Below are 25,597 nucleotides of genomic sequence, written 5' to 3' on the forward strand. Positions count from 1 at the left end.
ACTTAATGTTATAATTCTGTGGAATGTTCATTTTAAAAAATCTAAAATTTATTGATTTTTTTAATGTACCAAATACTAACTTTAAACATCAAAGGTTTTACTTCCAACATCTGGTATTGGGGGAACCAGCCCCCAATATTTCAACGTAGGTTCTTTCTATTTTCCTTAAGTGTTGGCCGGTCTGAGAAATAAAGAGAAAGAGTACAAAGAGAGGAATTTTATAGCTGGGCCTCTGGGGGTAACATCACATATCGGTAGGTCCGTGATGTCCCCTGAGCCACAAAACCAGCAAGTTTTTATTAGGGATTTTAAAAGGGGAGGGGGTGTAGGAACAGGGAGTAGGTCACAAAGATCACGTGCTTCAAAGGGCAATAAAGATCACAAGGCAAAGGCAAAGTTAGAATTACTGATGAGGGTCTGTGTCCTGCTGTGCACGTATTGTCTTGATAAACATCTTAACAGAAAACAGGGTTGGAGAGCAGAGAACCGGTCTGACCAAAATTTACCAGGCTGGAATTTCCCAATCCTAGTAAGCCTGAGGGTACCTGCAGGAGACCAGGGCATATTTCAGTCCTTATCTCAACCACATAAGACAGACACTCCCAGAGCGACCATTTGTAGACCTCCCCCCAGGAATGCATTCCTTCCCCAGGGTATTCCTTGCTGGGAAAATAATTCAGTGATATCTTCCCTACTTGCACATCCGTTTATAGGCTCTCTGCAAGAAGAAAAATATGGCTCTATTCTACCCGACCCCGCAGGCAGTCAGACCTTATGGTTATCTTCCCTTGTTCCCTGAAAATCGCTGTTATTCTGTTCTTTTTCAAGGTGCACTGATTTCATATTGTTCAAACACACGTTTTACAATCAATTTGTACAATAGTGGTCCTGAGGTGACGTACATTCTCAGCTTATGAAGATAACAGGATTAAGAGATTAAAGTAAAGACAGGCATAAGAAATTATAAGAGTATTAATAGGGAAGTGATAAATGTCCATGAAATCTTACAATTTGTGGTTAGAGATTGCAGTAAAGACAGGCATAAGAAATTATAAAAGTATTAATTTTGGGAACTGATAAGTGTCCATGAAATCTTCACAATTTATGTTCTTCTGCCGTGGTTCCAGCTGGTCCCTCCATTTGGGGTCCTTGCCTTCCCGCAACAATCTGGTCTCCATATAGTGTTTTATTCTTTCATTTTATTAATTGAACAAACTGAGATATAATGTATGAAATGACATCACCAAGGCCATAGTGACCCAGAGGTAGACACTAGCATTAATAATTATTCTTTTCCCCTTTTTAATTAGCTGGGTTTTGTGGTCTTTTTTATATTTCTTCTGAACAAAAGATTTAATGATAGAGTTTACATTAGTGATAGATTACTGCATAAAGTCTCCCCAAAAGAAACATTTTCTTGGTTGTTACTTGGTGGTAACATGAAATAAAGGCATAAAATCATTCAGTCATTGGCAGTGAGGCCAAGGGGTGGGTGGCTTGGGAGGAGGTGTACCTAGGCTCTTCTGTAATTTCTCTCTCAGCTATCCCAAATCAACACTGCAAGCTAAGTAAAAACAAAGTGCTTGCCATGCAAAGCACCTTCAAGACAAGTCCCCTACCTCTGTGTACTGGCTAGATCACCACCCCTCCCAGAATACTTGCTCAGAAGAGCAGTTTTTGGGGTAAACACTGTTTACTAAAAGATAGACTGAAAGGGCATTCAAATCACAGGATGGTTCTTAGAAGTGAGATTTCAATACATCTTCAGATGAACATTCAGTGTTCAACTTTCTAAGTTGTTTCCATAGAAACAGTTGGGAAGCCACAGATATTGGGCTGTGAGAAGCAGCGTATGGAGAAGAATTGTTCTAAAAGTTTACCAGGAAAGATTAGGATGTCACAGATCTAAGAAGATCTGAGGCAATATGCACATTAGGCACATGGAGAGTTGATGTGGAGCCATGATCTTTTTCTTGAGTGAGATTCAAACACATTAAGAGAGCTTTCTTTTTAAACTAAAGGCATTTTAAATTTGCTAACTTCTGCCTCCTTTTCCATTGTCTTAAACTCATGCAGGCAGTGATCCTGGAGCACTGTGCTTTTGTTTTTCCTTCCATTCCTAACCCCTGCTTCACTGGCTTCTGTTTTACAGATAGCCACCAAGGTTCAAACTTGATGTAAACCTGGATTTTTTTGTTTTAGTTTTCCGTGTTCTTCTGGGTATTTACAGTTGCCATATATTTGGTGAGGGTGTCTTCTCCCCAGTTCCCCTTGACTCTCTGTTTTTCTGTATTTTCAGGGAAGAAGAGCCCAGACCTAGGGGAGTATGATCCACTTACCCAGGCTGACAGTGATGAGAGCGAAGACGATCTGGTGCTTAACCTGCAGAAGAATGGAGGGGTCAAAAATGGGAAGAGTCCTTTGGGAGAAGCGCCAGAACCCGACTCAGATGCTGAGGTTGCAGAGGCTGCAAAGCCACATCTTTCAGAAGTCACCACGGAGGGCTACCCCTCAGAACCCCTTGGGGGCCTGGAACAGAAGGCGGCCTCCTCCCTGGTGTCATATGTGCGCACGTCTGTCTTCCTGCTGACTTTGGGGATCTCGATGATCCTGGTGCTCCTGTGTGCTTTCCTGATCCCCTGTCCTCCCAGAGATCTGCACAGCACCTGGAGCCGCCACTTGGGCTCCCAGGGAGGTGAGCTGCAGAATCTTCAGCCCTAATCCTGTGAAACTTCATGCTATGTCTGATTACATTTAAATTTTCCTCCAAATCTTAAAACTTAATATGTGTCATGCGGCATTCCCCACCCTGCCGTCCCCACTGTGTGGAGGTGGCAAGGAGATTAAGATTTGAAAGAAAACAAACACCTCCAAAAACCTGGGAATCATTGCTCTGTTGTGTCTGTTGGCATTGGTCTTTATTAGATCCAGAGAGGACAGGGCTGGTTTGCTGGATTCCTGCTGTGGAGCCAGCACTGTATCAGGGGAATGCAAAGCTGTAGGAAGGGCTATTTACAGAGAAAAGCAAGGTTCAAGGCCTGGTTGCACCAGGGATAGAGCTCTTGCAGAACCCTTTGACATTCTTTGATGATAGAGGTCTGATCTAATTTAAATTATAAAATAATTTCATTTCCTGTAAAAGATAGTTGCTATCTTTTCTTTCTTGCTCCTCATGGTTAGGGCGGTGCTGTCTGAGTAATTCCAGCTATTCTGTCTCCTTTTTGGAGTAGGCTTCTTTAAAACCTCTTGCTCTGGAATGGGACTTACATCTCACCTGTGTTGAGTAGTCCTGTCTCTTGTGAACTGGATTAAGCTATCCTCAGACCCCTGGCATCCTCTTGATCTAGAAATGTTTATCTCTGCCACTTCTCTGATCCCAGTTGAATTAGCTTCTGATGAGTTCTGTGTTCTCATCTTTAGTTTCTCTGAAGGCAAGTTTCATTTACATATATTTATATACAGTTTAAAGGTAACAAATTGTTGGTGTGTCTACCACCCAGCTTTAGAAATAGAACATCATTGAGACCTTCACAATCTCTTGTGTGTCCCTCCTGACCACATCCTCCTCTGCCCAGCAAAGGCCTCTGCTATCCTGAATTTTGTGTTGATTATTCCTTTTTCTGTAAAGTTTTACCATGTCAATATGTACCCCTAAACTGTATATTCATTACTTTTGCTGGTTTTTAAATTTTACATGAATTTAATCATGCAGTCTTCTGTGAACTGCTTTTTTTTTTTTTTTTTGCGACAGAGTCTTGCTCTGTCACCCAGGCTGGGGTGCAGTGGCATGATCTCGGCTTACTGCAGGCTTCACCTCCCGCGTTCAGGTGATTTTTGTGCCTTAGCCTCCCGTGTAGCTGGGATTGCAGGAGCTCGCCACCATGCCTGGCTAATTTTTGTATTTTCAGTAGAGACGGGGTTTTGCCATTTTGGCCAGGCTGATCTTGAACTCCTGACCTCAGGTGATCCACCCACCTCGGCCTCCCAAAGTGCTGGGATTATAGTTGTGAGCCACTGCACCCAGCCTGTGACCTGCTTCTTTGTGCCACTTAATTTTTTGAAAACAATTTATTGAGATTCATCTATATTGATGCATTATACCTGGAGTTTATTCATTTTCACTACTGTCTGATTTTTCCATGGTATGAATATCTCATGATTTATCCATTTTTCTGTTGATGAACCTTTAAGTAATGCTTCCAGTCTTTTTTTTTTTAAATAAATAAATGATGCTGCTAAGAACATTTTTGTATATGTTTCCTATTGCAGTGTATAAGAATTTATCTAAGGCATAAACCTAGGAGTAAAATTGCTGGATCATACCATAGGGTGTGTGCATGTTCATTATTAGCAGTTTATGTTAAATTATTTTCCAACATGGTTGTACCGATTTACATTTCCACTAGCAATGTGTGAATTCTCTCCAAATTTGGTGGGCATCCTCTGAGTCCACACTTTTGGGTGGTGGGGGGATGGAAGTCCAGACTCCTCACTAGGCCTCTGCTGACACCACCCCCGTGGAGAGGAGGGAGAGGGCTGCCTTGTTGATGCTAGTTGGGGTGGAACTCCTTTGGTCCTGCTAGATGAGGATGACAGTCCTTGCCCCCACCTGGCTTTCTCTGACATGACCCTGATGGTGGTGGTGGTGGTGGGGTACCTTGTTACATCCAGGAGAGGGTGGGAGCCAGGCTCCACATTCAGCCTTTGCTATATGAGTGGGTGGAGCTGGGCTGATAATTTTATCTGTTTGGTTGGAGTAGAGCAGTTATTATCTACAACTTTCCTGTCTTGCTGGACTGCACCTTTCCTGGGCTTTTGGCTAGGGAAGGCAGCCTTTTCTGGGGCTTTTTTTGTCTGTATCTGTGGTGTTTCTGGGTTGCTGGCTTTTCCAGCACCCTATCTGGGTATTATGAGGCCAAAAGAAAACCCAGGGGACTCATCACCTTGTCATTCCTTGGGTCTTGCAGTCCCTAGCTGGTCTGCTTCCTTCTCTCTGCCTTTTAGAGTTGTCTTATGTTTGTTTTATGTACAGTGTCCAGGGCTTTTCCATGCACTTAGCAGGGGGAGTAGGGAGAGGTGTGTCTACTATACCTAGTCGAGGAACTGGAGTCTGCCTGGTGTTTATAGAGCTACTGGCAACAGAGAACTGGTTTGTGGTAACTTGCTCAGGACCTTTTTGGTTTTTTATGTGTATAACAGGTGGGGACCTGTCTCCATTGGAATTGGCTGATGTGAATGGAGATGGCCTGCGTGATGTGCTTCTCTCCTTTGTGATGTCAAGGAACGGGAGTGCAGTAGGTAAGAGACGTGTTTTTTTCAAGGCTGCTACAGGGGCACTGTCAGCTAGGAGAAAACATCAGAGCTGTGTCCCAAGTGGTACTGCAGAGAAGGATCTGCAGTGAACAGAAAGTTACCATGGTTCTGGCATACATGAAAACCCTCATCAGAAAGCTTCCACATATAAATAAAGCTCAGTCTAAGAAATCGGAGGGAGTTAGAGCTGGAAGGAATTTTTAGTGGTGACCAGGCCAGTGAAGAAACTGTGATGCAGAGAGGAAGTGACTTGTCCACACACTTTGCAACGAACAGTGTTAGTCCTCGGGTTCCTTGGGTTTTCTCCTGGTTTTCCATTGCCTCTTAGATTATAGTGAACATTGACTTTATGCTACCCTCCTATCCCTGGAAGAAAACTTTTGTTCATAGACTTATACATCTTTACACAAATACCTCTTGGCCGGGTGTTTTCCTTTCCCCCTTCAGTTTACACTTGTAGACCTGCTGTCCATCCTGCTCTCTGCATGGGGAAGCTGAGCTGTATGGATGGTATCAACAGGCTTCCTTGCCTGCTGGTCTCCTTTCAATGGGGAGCACAGCTCAGGAATGGGAGGGGAGTAAGAGTGTGAGGGGAGGTATTCACTCCCCTGGCTCCCTCCCCGCCGGGGTCACTGCAGAATGGCTGCTACAGCCTTGACCCTGGGTCACAGCTCGTTTCAAGGTGGCCCTCCTATAGGACTTTCCTTTTCTGGATTCCAGTAATTGCGTCCTCTCCTTGTGTCTTTGTTGGGGAGCCTAACAGTTCTGAGGGTCTGCACTATCACTTGTGGTGTTTCTACATGCTGGCCACATCTTTGTGAATAGTCTCCTTAAGAAACCGTCCACAACTTACCCTCATTTAGGGTGCTGTTTCTGGGATCCCAGCTTTTACACATGTCAGCTGTAGAAAAAGAAAAAATGCGTTCTGATTTCAGCCTAAGTACACAAGGCTTTTGGTTGATCCTGCAGCCTCCACTACAGTGGAGTCAAACTGCAGCCTGTGAGCTGATGCAGGGACCTAGTTTGATGCTGAGGATGCCCTAGTGACTGCTTTTAAGTCGTCTAGGCCTTGGAATACATGTCTAGGTGTGTTTTAGAGAATTCTAAACCACATCTCTTACATTAGTAGGAGTGGCTTTCTGAGGCCCACATGAGATGTGGAAGCAATCTGGGTGGAGATCTGCTGTAGAGAGCATCTCCAGCCTAGGAGTAGATTTCCGTGCAATCAAAACTTGATTACACTTTTCCTGCCCGTGACTTCTGAAGTAAAAATCTTCCCCATCTACTTAGATTTAGAGATGTTTTTAGTCATTTGGTATCTTACGTAGTTTGCTTCATACCAAGACTCATAATGGCAAGGCCATGGGTTTGGACACAATATGGACCAGGCTGATTTGGCCACAGACTGTACAAATAAGGATATAGCGAACATATGGTGCTTTCTATGTGTTAATACACCATTGTCAGCACATAACGTATGAAGGAATTTATCCTTCCACACAGTCCTGTGAAGTAGACCCATTATTATCCCCCTTTTGCACATGAGGAAGGTGAGACGTTGTGAGGTTAAAGAACTTGCCCAGTCCTACTGCTGGTAAATGATAGAGCTGGGGATTCGGATCCAAGGAGTCTGGCTCTGGAGTTCATGTCCTTGACCCTCATGCCAAGCTGCTGTGCCCATAACCCACAAAGCTTTGTGCTACTGGACACAGAGGGATTGAGTTTTTTGTCTATTCACTTGTTCCTTCATTCAGCAACTGTGTGTTGATACTAACTGTGCGGCAGCCACTCTGCACCTTCTCTAGAGTTCTGATGGTTACACACAGACTGCCGAACAAGAGGAGCCTGGCTTTGGCCTCGAGAAGTCATAGTCTAGCAGGAAGGGGTAATCCATCACCATCTGGGAAAAGACGAGTCAGAGCATTGTAGGATGGAGTAGGGTCCTCCAGTAGGAAGAACCACACAGGATAGGGATCCTAGCACCTTTGAGAAGCCTGGAAGTTACCATATACCACCTCTGTTTGTCATATATATCTTCTGGCAACAGGGTCTGAAACAGCCAGCCATTGTTTGTCACTTGTTTTTAGGTTGTATATTCAATTAGTCGTGCTGAGGAATAGGTAGAAGGAAGCTCTAAAAGTTTTGTTTCCTTATCCATATTAGTTGTTGCTGAAAGTGGGAACTGTATGAAATGAGTCACGTGTCCCTATCCTGAGAGTGAATGTGAAACTGACAAGGGAGAAAGTTCTGAGTCTGATGTAGTAATTAAGTGACATAAAGGCTTATTTACTAAGGATCATGGCTACTCTAATCCCTTACCAGCTGTACTTGGATCTAGGTATTAGGTCTTCCCAAATATTTTTTCCTGACTGGGACCAAATCAATTGATTCCAGAGAACTCTAGACTAGCAAGACCCACTCATCATTGCTATATGTAATCTTCAAGTTTATTTTTTCAAAAAAGAAAATATTTTTCTGCTCTCAGGAAGCATTTATTAGTGATGATTAGAATTCAGGTATTTTGCTCCCCGCGCTGCACACGTTCTGGATCAGTCTCATGTTTCCGAGCATATCTTTTCCTCCTGGTTTTTTGTTCTTAACTACTTTTTCGCATTCTTGATTTTGCTCCTGTCTCTTATTAGGCAAACAGTCGGTTGCTGTAGGTACAGAGATTAGTGAGACAGTCTTTCTCCTTAAGGATATCACCATTTAGTTGGGGCCGAGGTGGCAGACATGTAAAGAGTAGTGTTGGGAAAGGTGCAGAAGTGGAGATGCATTCGACAGTGTAGAGGAGGCCACAGCTCTTGTCTTACATGAGAAGCGTGTTCAGCAAAGATGACAGGCACTCTGTGTTCACATCTTGCTGCCAGAAGTGTGAGAGGGAGCTGAATACACAAGTGTGGTTGCTGCCTTACCACCATCCACTTGCAGTTTTCTGGCCTCTTGTTCATCTCTGCCTCTTATCTCCTTTGCCTGCTTTCCTTTTTTTATCTCTCTTGTGTGCTTTTAGGTGTCTCAAGACCAGCTGCTAATCTTGTATGCCTTTCGGGGATGAATGGCAGCACACTGTGGTCTAGTCTTCTCCCTGAGGAGGCTCGAGATATCACATGTTTGGAGCTGATGCCAGGAAGCTTGGCTGAAACCATCTGCCTTGTGACAGGGACACACAAGATGCTCAGCGCATTCAATGCAACGTCAGGTAAATACCATTTACCACAAAAGAACTTTGCTCCTACGAGCCATACTTTTGGATTAGAATAATCTGTTGGGTAGGGGACCTTTTGACTCTCACGTGGTGGAGTATCTGATTTACTGATCTGGAATATGGTTATTAAGAGAAATGAGAGAAAAGGTTTGGGCAGATTGAGTAAACAGATCCATGGTTCAACCTGTTTGGTGATAGGATGGGGCTGGAACTGAATTACCCAAACAGAAACTACCCTGAGGCCTTTGGTGTGTAAATAGTCTCCCAACTCTGTTCTTTGTACAAAAGACGACTGAACTTTAATTCTTCATATTTGGTATACATGGGGGCCATGTGTAAATTTGGCATTAACTACTTAAAAAAATACGTCAGTGAAGAAATAAAGGTTTGTTGAGGCTTGTTGACTGGCCTTTTAGCTTCTTACTGCATTCAGACATACATGACAAAAGGGAATGAAAAAGAATAACATGTCCTGAAGGCTCTTATAGAATCCTAAGTATATGGCCCATAGGCTTAGTACTGCTGGGCCGTGTGCTCACGTGGAGCGGAATAAATAACATCCTTCCCAGGTTTAGAGGTTGGAGTTTGGTCGCGGGGTGCTTCTGAGTGAAAAAAACTGGGATTTGAGTTAACTGTAGAACTGAAGCCATCTGGAAAACTTCCTATGATGCTGTGGTGCTTACTTATGTGACCGTGTGGGGGAAGGAAGCAGAGTGGTCTGGTCGGCTGCCCCTGGGGGTTCCTTAATAGTTGTTATAATCTCTAACAGACAGTTCCCTCACCCCAGGCAAGTGAGCCCTTCTTTGTTGGAAAGGATTTAGCACCTCCATTTTATCTAAAAAAATCTAGGTGAGAAATCATTGCATGGATTTGTTTGCCAGATACTTTAGGATTCGGATCACACTGCCTGCTTCCTCCTCCTCAGTAAGACAAAAACGAAAGGCAATAAGTAGGTAGGAGTTGCTGTCTGTTGTTCAGCCCCTTGCGTCTTTCTTTTCTGGCCTGGGAACATGGCATCTGCCTTTTCCAAAGGCAAGAAGTTGTCATAGTGACCAGCCTATGTGTCCTTCCTCAGGGAAAGCCATTTGGACTTTAAACCCAAACTACTTGTCCAACGGTACCTTGGCTGCCCCAGTTGTGGTACTGCCAGACTTGGATGAAGACGGTGTTCGAGACCTTGTGGTTCTGGCCATTGGGGAATTGCAGGTATGATCTCTATTAAATGTTTTTTGTTTCTTATAGGGACTGCTTCTATTTTAGTTGTCTCAGCTCCTAGTGTTACATTATAAATGCTGCTTGAAATGTTCTTTTTACAAGGGTTTAGGTTTAAGTAAATTCTCTTTGTGAGGTTAAGTGAATACTTGACCATTATGAACCCATTTTCTCTGGCAGCCTCATGGCTCCATGGACTGGGGTGTAGTGGAGCTTTAGAGTTAGTTAGGTCTGTATGCGAATTCCACCTCTACCACTTTATATCTTTGAGGCCTTGGGCAAGCCGTGGAGCCTGTCCAAGCTCTGGTTTCTTCATATGTAAAAAAGGCATGTTATATCTACTTACATCATTGTTATGAAAATTACAGCTAACATATTTAAAGTGCCTAGAGTAGTGCCTAATTTTTGCTGTGTATATGTATTTTTAGTTTTACTGTATTATATATATGTACATTTTATGTCAATTATAAAACAACAGAACAGGCTGATACAAAGTTCATAAAAGATACATAGGAAAAAATCTAAGTCAAGCAATAATAACAACAATGACCAAAGAAAGGAGTGTCATAATCTAGGCTGTGACAAGGCAGACTTTGATTCAGGACAGTGGCCCTTGAATTATGGTCCTAAATTATGATTTGCAGGAACTTCAGTGTACTGGTTACTCTGCACACAGATAAAATAAGAGTAGTCTTTCCCCCAAATCACAGGAAGGAATAAATTAATGAACAGAATAATCTCAATTTTAAGTTTTTATTCTGGAAGCGTTTTTCAGAGCTTTTGTCAAAGTTTCTCTAAGACTTTTTCTCAGACTTCCTAGTGTGTCTGCCAAGGAAATGCTTGTGCACAAAAGAGTCAAACAATCGGCAAAGAATGTTTGTGGAAAAATGTGGATATGGCTAATTTTGTCTCATTTGATAACCTATTTTAATTTTAATAGACCTTGTGTTTGCTGTTGTGATCTTTGTATTGCATATATGGAGTAGAGTTGTAAATTCTGGAGGTGAAATTATGTAGAATGGAATGAAATCTGTTAAGATTTTGTGGCTTTCTGCCAAGAGTCCCCCAAACTTAAGAGTGCCCCATCAGTCATGAGTTTTGAGGAGCACTGCTCTAGCACACTAAACTCTCCCTCACATTTGCAAGATAAAGGCAAGATCCAGAATGAGCTAAATTTCTGAAGCCTACTTAGTTTTAAGGGTTTTAAGCTTTAAGGGTACTTTATGTTCGTTTTCTTCAGCTAGCCAGTTGGTCTCAAAGTGGACCCGAACCAAGGATTCAGGAATTATTCATGTAATCTTTTTTATCCTAGCCATTGTGAATAGAGAGATTGGGGACTAGGGAAAATTTGAATTATTACTTCCATCAGGGAGCAATTCTTTGAAGGGAACATATGGGGAGACACGGCAAGCCATTGAACAAGTTTTTAAGTCGTGATTGAATTTAGAAATCTTGGTCTAACCATCCCGTCTGGCCGCTTATTAGCTGGTGGTGGTTGGCAGGATAGTGGCTCAGGCCCTTGGGGACCCTCCATAGTAAGGAGGTCTCCACTGGAGGAAGTGGCTTCTTGCCCACTCTTACTCTGTGCCCTTTGTGTTGGTCTCTACTCAGTGTATTGCCCATCTTGCCCTACAGAATTTACTTGTTTTCACAATAGGGTACAGCTAGGGCATAGTCTCAGTTCTGCTTGAAAAGTGGTAGACAGTTCTAGGAAAACCTTGTAGAGGCACTAGGTATATAGCGCAGCAGCTTCATCCTTGTACTGACCTCTTTTGACCTCTCTGCCAGCAACAAGGGACCCCAGGAACCTGTATAAGCTCCTGAGATGGAAGACTCTCTCTTCACAAGGAAGGAAACCTAAGTCTGTGACTTATAGTGATTGCGTTCATTGATCTGGGTTTAGAGTGAAGTGGGCTTGGAGAACTGGACCTGGTTTTTGATTACAGGAACTGATAAGGTCTAGAACATTAGTGGGAAGGGACCTTGAAGACCATTTGGTTAACTTTCTCACACCATGCTATGATCTCTGGTTCAGCATTACAGACATGTTGGCACCCCTACTCTCTTGGTGCACTCAGGCTGATGGGAATAACACTAATTTGTGAGGCGATCCATTTCATTTTTGGGCCAGCTCCAGAAAATTCTGTCCTAAGCAGAAAGAAATCTGCTTTCTCATAGCTTCCACTCATTGTTCCAGCTTCATTCCCATAGAGCTACTGTGAATGAGTCTAATCCCCTTTCTATAGGAAAGCCCTTTAACCATTAGCCTAGTCCCTCTAAGCTTGCTACTCAGGACTAAATATCCCCATTTCTCGTACTGTTCCTCATGCAACCAGGAAGTCCAAACCCCTCTTTTTCTTGATTTCTTTCCCTTTGCATTCTAGTATGTCCAAATCTCTTTTAAAATGTGGTACTTATATCTAAAAACAGCATTTTATTTGTAGTATAATTAATATATCAACCTAAGGGAATTGTTTCTTATTTTGATGTAGACTCTGTATTTCTGTTTTTGCAGCCAAAGATAATAATATTTTTTCTAAGATTTGCTTTCTGTTTGTAATCAGCTAAAGTACCTATATCTTTTAATGATTAATTATTAATAGACCAGTTTATTTTTTTGTGGCAGATTTTGACTCATCTTCCAGCCTAAGGTTTTTTTGAATTTTGAGTTTGTCATATGCCATATTAGCTATCCCTCTCAGCTTTGTGATAAACTTGAATTCTATTCTTTCAAGTCTTTGATAAGAATGTTTAATAGGAATGGGGCAATAGCACAGTGCTATGACATTCCTCTAAAAACCTCCCTCTAGGCTAGTATTGATCCCATAAGTACCTTTTCCTGGTACATGGCAAACCACATTTCTTTATCTTGTCCATAGAGTTCATGATGATAAACTTTGTCAAAAGCTTTACTGAAGTCAAGATATCAGTAAAATCCTCATATTTCTTAACTGGTGACTCTACCCCAAAAGAAATCCTCTAGAGCTGAAGTTGGCAACTGTGGCTTGTAGGTTAAATTTGGCCCACTACTTGTTTTTATAAATAGAGCTTTATTGGAACATCCTCACACCCATTCATTTATGTGTTATTTATGACTGCTTTCACACAAGAACAGCAGAGTAGAATAGTTGCTACAGAGATCATCTAGCTGGCAAAGGCTAAAATATATACTATTTGACCCTTCACAGAAAAAGTTTGCTGTTCTCTCTTTGAGAATAAAGTTGATGGTGTCCAGGCCCGACATCTGGTGTTCTGATGGGAGAGCACTGCCTCGATTAACTCTAGCTGGAACCAAATATTACTGGGGATTTCTGGTATTGAAGTAAAGACCCAGGGGCCAGCCATCCTATGTTAAGCTGTAGGCTAGAATTCTGTGCCTCAGGAGACTATTCAGCAAGCAACAATTCTGCTTCAGAGTAGCTGTCTGAGGTGCTTTGAAGATGCCCTTTGCCTGGCTCTAGTGAGGCAATGGGACATTTGCTTCACTTGCTTACTTGCAGGGAAATAAAGCGAAGCAGGTTTGGCTTTGTGCTTTCCAACTTGGGGGAGTGTTTCTGAGCCCGTGGCTTATGAGGAGGCAGTGACTGTCTGGAGAAGCCATTTCATTAGCAAACGATAGGGCTTCTATTGACTCCACCCCCCTCTCTTACTTCCTCAGCCAGATCTGTGCTTTCTGCTGGTGTCTGGCCGGACCGGAAATCCAGTGGGTCGACCTGTGAAGTACAACATCGTTGGAGTTGGGAATCTGATTGGTCCTCAGGTTTACATCACCACAAATGGGGCTGTCTACATCCTGTTTGGCTTTGGTAAGAAGCAAGGCTAGTTTTTGCTCCTGTTCCCCACTGGCATTTGTGATGAGGCCTTCCTTGTGAGACAGGGTGAAAGCTCAGGAACTCCTGACACCAGCCTTCCCATAGCCTTCTAATGCAGGGGCCTCTTACTGTCCCCCACCGATCACAGGCTATTAACTCTGCCTTCCCTTGCTGCCTCCTCTGAAGGGAAGACTCTTGTCCAGCACCCACTTAATCACCTCCCCACTTGTTCCGTGTTGTCCAGTCTGGGCGGGCTCTGTTAGACCCATCTGGTCAGGCTCTGTGTCTCTTGCTCAGATCCTCACCATGGGACAGTTCTGTTAAATTCAACTTCTCAGTGTTGGTTCTTCTGTGGTGCTAGGAAATATACAAGCTGTCGCACTGCGGGACATTTTTGTTCAGGCCCAAAATCGAGACAGCTCACCACCTTCTCTGCAGATAGAAGAGCCAGAATGGGAAAAGCGAAGATCCATCAACCTGTCTGAGCTCATTGATGTTTACAGGTAGGGCAGACGTCTGTCCTTGGTCACAGTGAGATCTCTTGTGAACTCACATGCCTTTGAGTCTCTAAGTTTGGTTGGGCTGGTGAATATGTGGGTAGAGGTTTAGGGGAAACAGTGCTTATCTTAATTTACCATCTTCTGATCTGGTTAACATGAGTTAGAAATTTTCTTCTCTTGGTAACATAATGCGTTGATATCTATGTGTTGGTGACCACATGTGATCACTCCTCAGGTAGGATGCAAGGAAGGATACTTAGGGCTCTGAGTCAGAGTAGGGAGGGAGATAGACTTATCTAACTGTTTGTGAAACTGTGCTGAAGGATCTGACCTACTCTTTTCTGTATTTTTCTCTTAGTTGAAGCATCATTTTGACAGAAGCAAGGATAGTGTCCATGAAATCTTATTTTTTATTTTTATTTATTTCCTAACTAGAAGCATGTAGTTTGTCACATGCAGGGGATTTTACCCATTTAACCCCAAGCCTGGCTAATAATTGTTTCATTCTTTCCTACCAGAAGTTCCAAATCATTTTCTAGCATTTTCTTAGGCAGTATCATGGTGTTTTGGTGACTTTGACAGGTATGAAGTAGAATGGTCCCAGTGGCACTGAGCAAGAACTAATTCAGTGAAATGTATGCCATGGGCTGCTGCCCAAGCTCATTGGCAACCTCTGGCCTCCTGTCCAGATCTCTGTCTGCCTTCCCTGTGATTATCCTTGGCTCTGTTGCCTTTCCCAGAGTATCCAGTGTGAGAGATATTGCACTGTAGCACTTTTCCTGTGAGTTCCTTTTGAACTTGTATGGAATTTTCTGGGGATCCTTGGTTTCTAAGGTCAAGAAAATGAGATTCAACTGAAACAACAGTACATCCCACTTGATGAGATAATGGTGGGGCATGAATACAAGAGTGTGTACAGGTGTACGTATACTGAGAGAAAAAGCCAAAGTAAATGGCTCAGAAATCTCATCCAAGCCAGAGACTAACCGTTGGGGTCTTATTTAACCCAGTGATGGTGTTGAACTACTCCAGATGGTGAAGGCACCAGATTCCAACTGCAGCAACCTTCTGATTACAACCAGACAAAGCCTTGTGCTGCTTCGGGGGCAAAATCTGACACCTTACTGGGCATTGAGACTTCAAGGCCTGCGCAGGTTTGCATTGTGTTCCTTCTTGTGTTTGCTGTTTTGATCCACTTTCCCATGTTTAAAAATTGTCCAGGACAATTGCTTGCAATTCTTATATCTGGGGCCAGTGCAAGAGAAGGGAGGGAGAGTTCTTAGTTTTCCTGTTTTTCTTGTTCACTATTGATTGCTTACTTTGTCCTTATTTGCAGCCAGCCTACTCCTGGATATTTCACTGATGATCAGACATTAGATTTCCTTCTGCAGATACAGGATGGAGTTGGGATGAAAAAGGTAAAACTTTGGGCCTCAGATCAATCAAAGCATATGTAAAGTATATACTTTGTGTCCAACCCTGTGTTAGGCACAGCAGGGAATAAAAAGAACCTAAAATATGATCTCTAACTTCAAAGAACTCAAAGTCTCATTGAGTGGATAAAATGAAAACTCACAATTCATTGCTAAAATCTGTAGCACTGGAAGCCTTTCTAGGATAATCTCCTTCCTATGTAGGAGTTTCTTGTTTTGGATCCCTAGCTTACAGTTAGGCATTGGGGGCCTTCTGAAATCTCTTGGTGGGGAAAGACAGGTATAAAGAAATGTAATGCTTTAACACACAGCTATACCTAAGATTTCAGAGAAGTCTGTGGTGACTGGGGTTTTATGGAAGACCTTATAAAGGAGGGAAATATAAGCAGCTTTTTAAAGCTGAATCGTATTTATGTAGACAGGAAAACATGCCAGGTCAGGGGTGCCAAGAGCAGAGGCCCAGAGACAGAAAGGATAGAGCATGTTCCAAGGACACTGAATAGATCTTTGATATTGCATGAAGTTGCATATTGTGAGAATATAATGATTGGATGGATGACTTTCATTTCTTTAACATTACAGCAGAATTACAGAGTTACAATTTTTTTTTATTATCGACCTTGCATTTTGGTTTATTTTCACTGTGAAATATATATCTATTTCTATACATTGCACATTGTTCCCTGAGAGAGACAAATAATTCAACAAACACTTTATCATCACCTCTAATGCGTGCCAACTTCTATGCTGAATGCTGGAGACACAAAATTAATGAAGACAGAGTCACTACATAGCTCTACCATGCGGTGGAAAGTGCTGTTGTGGAGGTTCGCACAGGGGTCCACCGGGAACACAGGGAGCAGATGGAGTGCAGGCGAGCTGGAGGGCCAGGGAGGCAAGAGATGCCTCATGTTGGTCAGGGGTTGTATGTGCAGAATCATGAGAGCAGAGAAAAGGTTTGCTGAATAGATAAGGGTGGGCTGAGGTGCACTCCCATCAGAGAGATGAGAATGAGGTCGGCTTACAGAGGGCCCCAAAAGCACAGCTGCAGAATCTGGAGGAGGCGTTGGAGGCCACAGGGCTATTTGGTTATGGGCAGAGGACAGATACATTGATAAAAACATCATGTTAGGGAGAGACTTCCAGCAGTGTTATATAGGAAAAGCCAGTGCCTGCGTGTAATTCAAAGGAATTTCTGATACACTGGTGCTGGCAGGATAACGGAAGAAAGGTGTATAGTAGGTATAGTAGGTTGAAGGTGGAGATGCTGAGTTTCAGCCCTGGGTTTTAATCCTGACACCATTACTTATTGGAGACCTTGGGCATATTACCTAATCTTGCCTAGCTGCAGTTTCTGCATTTATAAAACAGGGGTAATAATATTGCCTGCCTTCATAGGATTATTGTGACAGTTAAATGAAGTTAAACTATAATAATTAAAAAAAGATATATATATATATATATATATATATATATATATATATAAAATGAAATATGTGTTTGAGTGGATAGAAGTTTTTAGTGCAGTGTCTCTAGACTTCTCTTTTCCCCAAGATTGCCAAAGGCAATCTTGAAGTGCTTGTCTGTTTTTCTTTCTCTGCTGGTTGAGAAGATTTTGTCTCTGCCGGGTTGGTTCCAGGAACTTGTGTGATGCAGAGTCTGAGCATAGGCAGAGAAAGGCAGGACTCAGGAGCCTGGAAGAATAGGGCAAGCGGTTGTCCAAAGAGGTTAGGTCCTCCACTTACAGAAGTGTGGAGACACTGAGCAGGAGGGAGTAAAGACACTTGGGCTGGAGGAAATTGGGGAACTTCTTGGGGATTTTGGTAAATGAGAGGCTCCAGATCTGTGAGGCATTTAGGATGAAGAGCAGACATATGCCAGGATTATGAATTTGAACCCCTTTGTCATTATCCTTTGACAAATGCAGCTAAGCAATGAATTCCCTCTTGGATTATTTTTTTTGCCTGTTTAAACAGCACTGCTTTAAATTTGAGACTTCCCTAGGTCCATATGCCACGACACCAAGAGTCAGATCCATAAAACTGGGAACACCGTGCCCCAGGACAGTGTTCACTGGGCCATTGTTTTCTGAGTGACTGCTGTGTTGTGGGGGATAAGGTGCTGCTGTTGGCATTTGCAGAGTGGCTGCTCTGTCTCTCTGAGGACTGTCCTAAACGTGGACAATCCGCGTGTCCACATCACTTCCTGTCTCTCAGATCCTCCTTTTCTCACCTGTAAAATGGGGTGGACTACATGATTTGAATGTCCCATTCCCACTTGAGAACTTTGCAGTTCTTGAAATCTATTAAATGGGAACAAGGGCTGCAGAAGCCTGGGGCCTGGTCCTTAGCCATTATTCGTGCTCTCGGAACACCCAGTTTGCTTGCATCTTAAAAGCGCAGCGTGTTGATATTTGTGTTATTTGAATACCTGTGCATTTTTGTGTGTGCATTTTCTGGGCCTGCTGCTTTTTTGAGGCCTGGCCATGTTTACTGTCTGTCTTCTCTTTTGTAGATGATGGTTGTGGATGGTGACTCTGGCTCCATTGTTTGGAGTTACCGTGCTCCGTGTCACATGAAAGAAACGCCAGCCACCTCAGCAGTTACTTCAGACCAGAAGTCTGTCTTCCTCTTCTGGGCCGAAGGGCTGTCAGCTGCATCTCCCAATTCCGTGAGTGAGCCTGGGAGGGTCCCTTTTTTACTTTGTCAGATGGCAGCTGCTGTGCAGGGCTGACTGTGTTCTGGAGATGTTATTTGACCCATCACTTTCCAAGGGGTTGGAATAGAAACAAGTCAGCACTCGCTGGAGAAAAGCAGGAACCCTGTGTCCTCCTGAGCCACACCTTTGCCTTTTAGCAGAGAATGTGCAAGCTGACAACAGCCCCTAACTGCTGGCTACTGACAGTGGGAGGCTGAATAAAGAATAAAAAGTCCTCCCAAGATACTAGATCCAAATTTACAGATAATTCACATATGCTACGGTTGTTGAAGAGGAGAAATCATTATGACTGGTCTGAAGTGGGCAGAGAGAATTTCAAGGAGGAGTAAGGCTGGGCTTTGAGGCACATGCCCTGAGACTGAAGGAACGGGGATGGGGGAGGGTGGCCAGCAGTTGGAGAGGGACATTGACCAGATAAAACTGAGAGGTCATTTGAGGAACTATGGGAGAGAAGGTCTGACACCTAGAAGGCAGATTTTAGAAAGTCTTAAATGTTACACTGCAGTATTTTCATGGGGTTGGTGAGGCAGGGTGCTACCTGTTTTAGGTACTGGGGAGTTTTTAGTAAGACCCGCCCTGCCTGAGTTCAATGAAACACATCTTGACTCAGCACTTTCTGTGTGCCAGGCGCTGTGATCTCTGTAGGGACTAAGGATAAACTGAAAATAATCTTGGCCCTCTAGAGAAGGCAGATGGTCCACAGATAATGGGGGGAACCTGACGGAGGCAGGATCCTGAATTCATCAACCAGGCTCAGTCAACAAGTCGCTCAACTTCTCTGAACCTCATTATCTTTATCCATTAATGGTTAATGAACATGCTAATATATTTACTCATTTTGAGGATCAGATTTACCTAAAATCTAGATTGTATTTCTAACTCTGACATGGCCTAACAGTGTGACCGTGGGCAATTTACCTAACATTTCAACTTCCTCCCCACCTATGAGGGGACTTCAGAAAGTTCATGGAAAAATGTAATTAAAATATAAAAATAAAAAATATCGGCTGGGCGCAGTGGCTCATGCCTGTAATCCCAGCACTTTGGGAGGCCGAGGCAGGAGAATCACAAGGTCAGGAGTTCGATACCAGCCTGGCCAATGTAGTGAAACCTCGTCTCTACTAAAAATACAAAAAATAGCCAGGTGTGATGGTGGGCACCTGTAATTCCAGCTATCTGGGAGGCTGAGGCAGGAGAATCGCTTGAACCCGGGAGGCAGAGGTTGCAGTGAGCCGAGATCATGCAATTGCACTCCAGCCCAGGCGACAGTGCGAGACTTTGTCTCAAAAAAAAAAAAAAAAAAGAACTTTATTTCTTAACATAAGCTCCATCAAGTTCAAGACACTTTGTAAGCACTGATACCAGCCGTTTAGTCCATCCCTAAAGAACTGAGGGTCCTGGGCGTTTCATCATGTCAATGCAGTCTTTTTTTACATTATAAACTGAAAAAAATGAGAGCCCTTTAAAGATTTCTTAAGATTAGGAAACTAAAGAAAGTCACAAGGAGCTAACTCAGAACCATAAGGTGGATGCCTCATGATTTCCCATTGAAACTCACAAAATTGCTCGTTTGATGAGAGGAATGAGTAGGAACATTGTTGTGATGGAGAAGAACTCTCTGGTGAAGCTTTCCCAGGTGTTTTTCTGCTAAAGCTTTGGCTTTCTCAAACACTCTCATTTTAAGCAGATGTTATCATTCTTTTTTTGTCTTTTTTTTTTTTTTCCTTTTTGTGGAGAATGGGGTCTTGCTGTATTGCCCAGGCAGGCCTCGAACTCCTGGGCTCAAGCTGTCATCCTGCCTCTGCTTCCCTAAGAGCTGGGATTACAGGCATGAGCCACCGCACCCAGCCAATGTTATCATTCTTTAGCCTTAACGTCAACATAATGTGCATTTCTTCTGCTGTAGAGAGTTTGAAGACTGACACTCAGGCCTTGGAACTTTTGTTTTATAATTGATGATTTGCCTCTGTCTGGTCAACAAGCAAAATGCCTTGGGCATCCCTCCAAAATACTGTCATGACTTTTGCTGTTGACCTTTCCACTTTTTCTTGGACTGGACCACTTCCACCTCTTGTAGTCATTGCTTTCATTGTGCTTTGCCTTCAGGAGCACACTGGTAAAGCCATGTTTCATCTCCTGCTACAGATCTTCAAAGAAATGCTTCCAGGATCTTGATCCCACTTGTTTAAAATTTCCATTGAAAGTCCTGCTGTTGTCTGCAGCTAATATGGGCCAACAGTTTTGCCACCCATCCCGTGGAAAGTTCGCTCAACTTTAATTTTTCAACCAGAATTACGTAAACTGAACCAATTGAGGTGTCTTCAGTGGTGGCTATTGTTTGTGCTGTTAATCATTGGTTCTCTTCAGTTAGGGCATGAACAAGATTAATTTTTTCCTCACAAATTGTTGAGGATGGTCTGCCATTGTGGGTTTAATCTCCGACATCATTTTGTCCCTCGTGAAAATGAGCTATCCGCGTCTAAGCTGCTGATCTCTCTGGGGCATTGTCATCACAAATTCTTCAGAAAGCATCAATGATTTCACCATTCTTCCACCCAAAATTCACCACAAATTTGATGCATGTTCTTGCTTCACCTTTTTGGCAGAATTTGTGTTACTTTGATAGGGGCTGTTTTCAAACTGATATCTTACCCTTCTTGGTGCCTCAGACTAGCTCCTGTTCAGGCATGTTATAACAAGTTAGTATGAGTTTCCTCTGGTGCAAAAAAAATTTTGAAGTCCTTGCATAGTTTTTTCATAATCTGCATTTCCATGAACTTTTTGAAGACCCCTCCTATAATAAAATGAGGGTATTGGGCAAGATAAGTCTCAAGTGTAGTCTTCTATAAATAACTACAAAAAGAAAAGAGCCATGTTACAAATGCTTTAATAGAGGTACAAGTAAGAAGTTTACATGGAAGCACAAAAGAAGGGAGATGTTAATTTTGCCTAGGGTAATAAGGGAGCTTTTCCTCAAAGAGGGGGCCAAGGTGGGCACCTAAGGACGAGAAGTGTAGAGATGGGGTAGAGAGGATAGTTAGACAGTCTAAGAGGCAAATAAGATTGGCAACGGTTAGGCAGAGTAAGGTGAAGCATGGATTGAGGGTGATGATCAGACATTTGTGCAGCATGGGGTGGGCAGGTGAGTCATAGCAGCTCAGTCTGGAAAAGGCATATTTTGGTTAAATGGTATAAGACTGCTAAGGAATTTGTGCTTCATTCTGTAGGCAGTGAGGAAGGTGTATGGCTGTTTTCTTCTCATGTTAGCTGAGCTGGAGATCTGTCCTTTCATACCTGGGATCCTAAGGGTGTGTGGAAGATGCCCTCTTCTGCTTTGTGGGGATGTGTTGAGAGTGAGGTTGCAAGCTTCCTGCTCACACTTCTCCTCACTTGGGGACTTCTTCCCATGCAGCGATATGGAAGCAGGGGTAATATTCATCCCTCAGAGCTTCCATTTCCTCTACTGCAGGAGGCCCAAGGTAGTCCCAGGGGAGGAGAGGCACTTGGGAAGCTCTGGAGAGCAGCCACTTACTAACTCACATGGGTGTACTTCTGTGCCTTAACAACTGCATGGCTGCACACTCATGTACCTGCCAAGTCTCAAGTCCCATCCCCACATAGAAGTCATACTGATAAAGATAGTCCCAATGTGCATTTCTTCTGCTGTAGAGAGTTTGAAGACTGACACTCAGGCCTTGGAACTTTTGTTTTATAATTGATGATTTGCCTCTGTCTGGTCAACATTCCACTCATTTCAGGAACAGATAAGATTTTTGTAATTTTTAGCCTGATGCTTGCAGTTGGCTTTGACACCCAGTGAAAGGAAATATCTTTGGCTCACTGTGTTTTCATGAATAGATTACATCTCCACAAAGCCCCATCTGCTGCAAGGGATGAACCAGTATTCCAGTACTTCCATGGGCAGAAGACTGGGACATCTTGTCAGATTCCTCTCTTGGGACCTGTACATTGCCTTTTCTTTTCTTTTCTTTTTTTTTTTTTTTATTTTTTGAGACAGAGTCTCTCTCTGTCACCCAGGCTGGAGTGCAGTGGCATGATCTTGGCTCACTGCAACCTGTGCCTCCCAGGTTCAAGTGATTCTCCTGCCTCAGCCTCCTGAGTAGCTGGGGCTACAGGCATACCACCAAGCCCAGCTTTTTTTTCTCTTTTTTTTTTTTTTTTTGTATTTTCGGTAGGGACAGGGTTTCTCCATGTTGGCCAGGCTGGTCTCGAACTCCTGACCTCAGGTCATCTGCCCACCTCGGCCTCCTAAAGTGCTGGGATTACAGGCATGAGCCACCGCACCAGGCCTGCCTTCCTTTTTTTTCTTACAAGGGAGAAAGCATTTTCCAGCTGTAGATAGTGGTTTGAAAGAGTTAGTGATTACTATTTTGAGCTCTTTGAAATATGTCTCTTATACAGGGGAGTTTCTTTCAAACACATTCTTGTAGTTAGGATCAGGCATTAGCATCTGAGAGGAATGAGTAATCACCATTTTCTACTCTGCCTTTTCACCTGAGGACTGTCACGTGTGGGAATGTAGCGTTACCTTTGCTCTTCCTTTTTGCTGCTTATTATCAGGATATCATCCTAGGAACTGAGCCGCCCAGCCTTCACCACCTTTACCTCCTGCATCCTGCGTTCCCCTCCATCCTTCTGGATCTGGCCAACACCACCGGCACAGTGACGGCTTCAGAGGGTGAGTCCCAGTGCCAGCGGGAGTCTGTGTACGCAGATGGTGGGAGAGTATGTGTTGGCTGTGTGTAATGAGACCATTGCCCCACCCAGGGAAGGATGTGTGCTTCTCAGACGACAGCAGGGCACTTTCCCTGGTGTCCCTGGTGCCTCTTTGCTGGAATGCTCCCCTGGGTGGAAGCCCCGGGCTCACAGGGTGAGAACCCATATGCTCTGAATGTGGAGGTGAAAGCGCGTCCCATTCCAAAGGGTCTGTAAGGTGATGATTCATCCAGCCACTCCTTCAGCAGACATTTAATGAGCATCATCTGTATGCCAGACACTGTGCCAGGTGCTGGGACTACAAATAAGACTAGTTTCTTGACCCACTCAGAGATTAGGATTTGGAATTAACTGTGAAGGACATGATGGAGATAGAATGTGTTTTGCCAGGGCATTGATTTAGAAAACCTTTTTTTGAATATAACTGTGCACCCTGCATAGAAATTGGAGAAAGAAGAAAAATCAAAGGAAGAAAGAAAAATTGGCCATAATCTGGCCACTCATAACCACTATTAGCATTTTGGAAGTGTTCTTCTACTTTACATATCTGTCTAAATAACACTGTAAATAAAATGGGATCCTATATGGGAGACCCTCAACTCAGGAAACCAAAGCATTGGGATTGCAGCCTCTGCTGCCTGCTAGTCTAGGTTGTCTGGTGATCTCCTCAGCGATTCCTTCCCTCATGGAATCTGCTGTTCCTGTTGGGAGGTCAGGGAGTGCAGGAGTGGGAGAGGACCAGATGACCACATCTCCTTTCTTTCTTTCCACATTCTCTTGCTACTTATGGACTTGGCTGTCTACTTACAAACTCATTGGCCTTGGGCTGCAGCTGGTGTTTGTAGCTCTCTCGATTTATTGGGATACACGGGGAAGAACAGCTTACCTGGAACTTGCAGGCACACCTGTCCACTGATTGGGGGGTGGGGGCAGGGAGGTATGAGCTTGGAAAATCCTGTGATTAGATCTGAGTGAGCTGTTTTTTCAACAGTAGCATAAAATATTCAGTGAACATCAAATAATGGTAATTAAGAATCTTGACACCATTTTTATTACAACTTGTATTTTATTTTATTTATTCATTTTTTAAATTTTATTATTATTATACTTTAAGGTTTAGGGTACATGTGCACAATGTGCAGGTTAGTTACATATGTATACATGTGCCATGCTGGTGTGCTGCACCCATTAACTCGTCATCTAGCATTAGGTATATCTCCTAATGCTATCCCTCCCCCCTCCCCCCCACCCCACAACAGTCCCCAGAGTGTGATGTTCCCCTTCTTGTGTCCATGTGTTCTCATTGTTCTATTCCCACCTATGAGTGAGAACATGCGGTGTTTGGTTTTTTGTCCTTGCGATAGTTTACTGAGAATGATGATTTCTAATTTCATCCATGTCCCTACAAAGGACATGAACTCATCATTTTTTATGGCTGCATAGTATTCCATGGTGTATATGTGCCACATTTTCTTAATCCAGTCTATCATTGTTGGACATTTGGGTTGGTTCCAAGTCTTTGCTATTGTGAATAGTGCCGCAATAAATATACGTGTGCATGTGTCTTTATGGCAGCATGATTTATAGTCTTTTGGGTATATACCCAGTAATGGGATGGCTGGGTCAAATGGTATTTCTAGTTCTAGATCCCTGAGGAATCGCCACACTGACTTCCACAATGGTTGAACTAGTTTACAGTCCCAACAGTGTAAAAGTATTCCTATTTCTCCACATCCTCTCCAGCACCTGTTGTTTCCTGACTTTTTAATGATTGCCATTCTAACTGGTGTGAGATGGTATCTCATTGTGGTTTTGATTTGCATTTCTCTGATGGCCAGTGATGGTGAGCATTTTTTCATGTGTTTTTTGGCTGCATAAATGTCTTCTTTTGAGAAGTGTCTGTTCATGTCCTTCGCCCACTTGTTGATGGGGTTGTTTGTTTTTTTCTTGTAAATTTGTTGGAGTTCACTGTAGATTCTGGATATTAGCCCTTTGTCAGATGAGTAGGTTGCGAAAATTTTCTCCCATTTTGTAGGTTGCCTGTTCACTCTGATGGTAGTTTCTTTTGCTGTGCAGAAGCTCTTTAGTTTAATTAGATCCCGTTTGTCAATTTTGTCTTTTGTTGCCATTGCTTTTGGTGTTTTAGACATGAAGTCCTTGCCCATGCCTATGTCCTGAATGGTAATGCCTAGGTTTCTTTCTAGGGTTTTTATGGTTTTAGGTCTAACGTTTAAGTCCACAGCCAATATCCTACTGAATGGGCAAAAACTGGAAGCATTCCCTTTGAAAACTGGCATAAGACAGGGATGCCCTCTCTCACCACTCCTATTCAACATAGTGTTGGAAGTTCTGGCTAGGGCAGTTAGGCAAGAGAAGGAAATAAAGGGTATTCAATTAGGAAAAGAGGAAGTCAAATTGTCCATGTTTGCAGATGACATGATTGCATATCTAGAAAACCCCATTGTCTCAGCCCAAAATCTCCTTAAGCTGATAAGCAACTTCAGCAAAGTCTCAGGATACAAAATCAATGTACAAAAATCACAGGCATTCTTATACACCAATAACAGACAAACAGAGAGCCATATCATGAGTGAACTCCCATTCACAATTGCTTCAAAGAGAATAAAAGACCTAGGAATCCAACTTACAAGGGACATGAAGGACCTC

General features: G+C 43.2%; 1 protein-coding gene across 1 annotated transcript in view; it reads left to right on the forward strand.

Annotated features, from left to right (window-relative positions):
* FAM234B (family with sequence similarity 234 member B) overlaps nt 1–25,597 on the forward strand; it is a 39,069-nt gene that overhangs the window by 8,871 nt on the left and 4,601 nt on the right. The window contains exons 2-11 of the mRNA NM_020853.2: nt 2,300–2,695; nt 5,200–5,298; nt 8,324–8,512; nt 9,594–9,724; nt 13,389–13,536; nt 13,904–14,045; nt 15,053–15,196; nt 15,379–15,460; nt 17,990–18,145; nt 22,775–22,892. Of these exons, the coding sequence (NP_065904.1) occupies nt 2,300–2,695; nt 5,200–5,298; nt 8,324–8,512; nt 9,594–9,724; nt 13,389–13,536; nt 13,904–14,045; nt 15,053–15,196; nt 15,379–15,460; nt 17,990–18,145; nt 22,775–22,892 (1,605 nt within the window). The remainder of the gene's footprint in view (nt 1–2,299; nt 2,696–5,199; nt 5,299–8,323; nt 8,513–9,593; nt 9,725–13,388; nt 13,537–13,903; nt 14,046–15,052; nt 15,197–15,378; nt 15,461–17,989; nt 18,146–22,774; nt 22,893–25,597) is intronic.

The sequence above is a fragment of the Homo sapiens genome, chromosome 12, assembly GCF_000001405.40.
Source record: "Homo sapiens chromosome 12, GRCh38.p14 Primary Assembly".
Classification (NCBI taxonomy): Eukaryota; Metazoa; Chordata; class Mammalia; order Primates; family Hominidae; genus Homo; species Homo sapiens.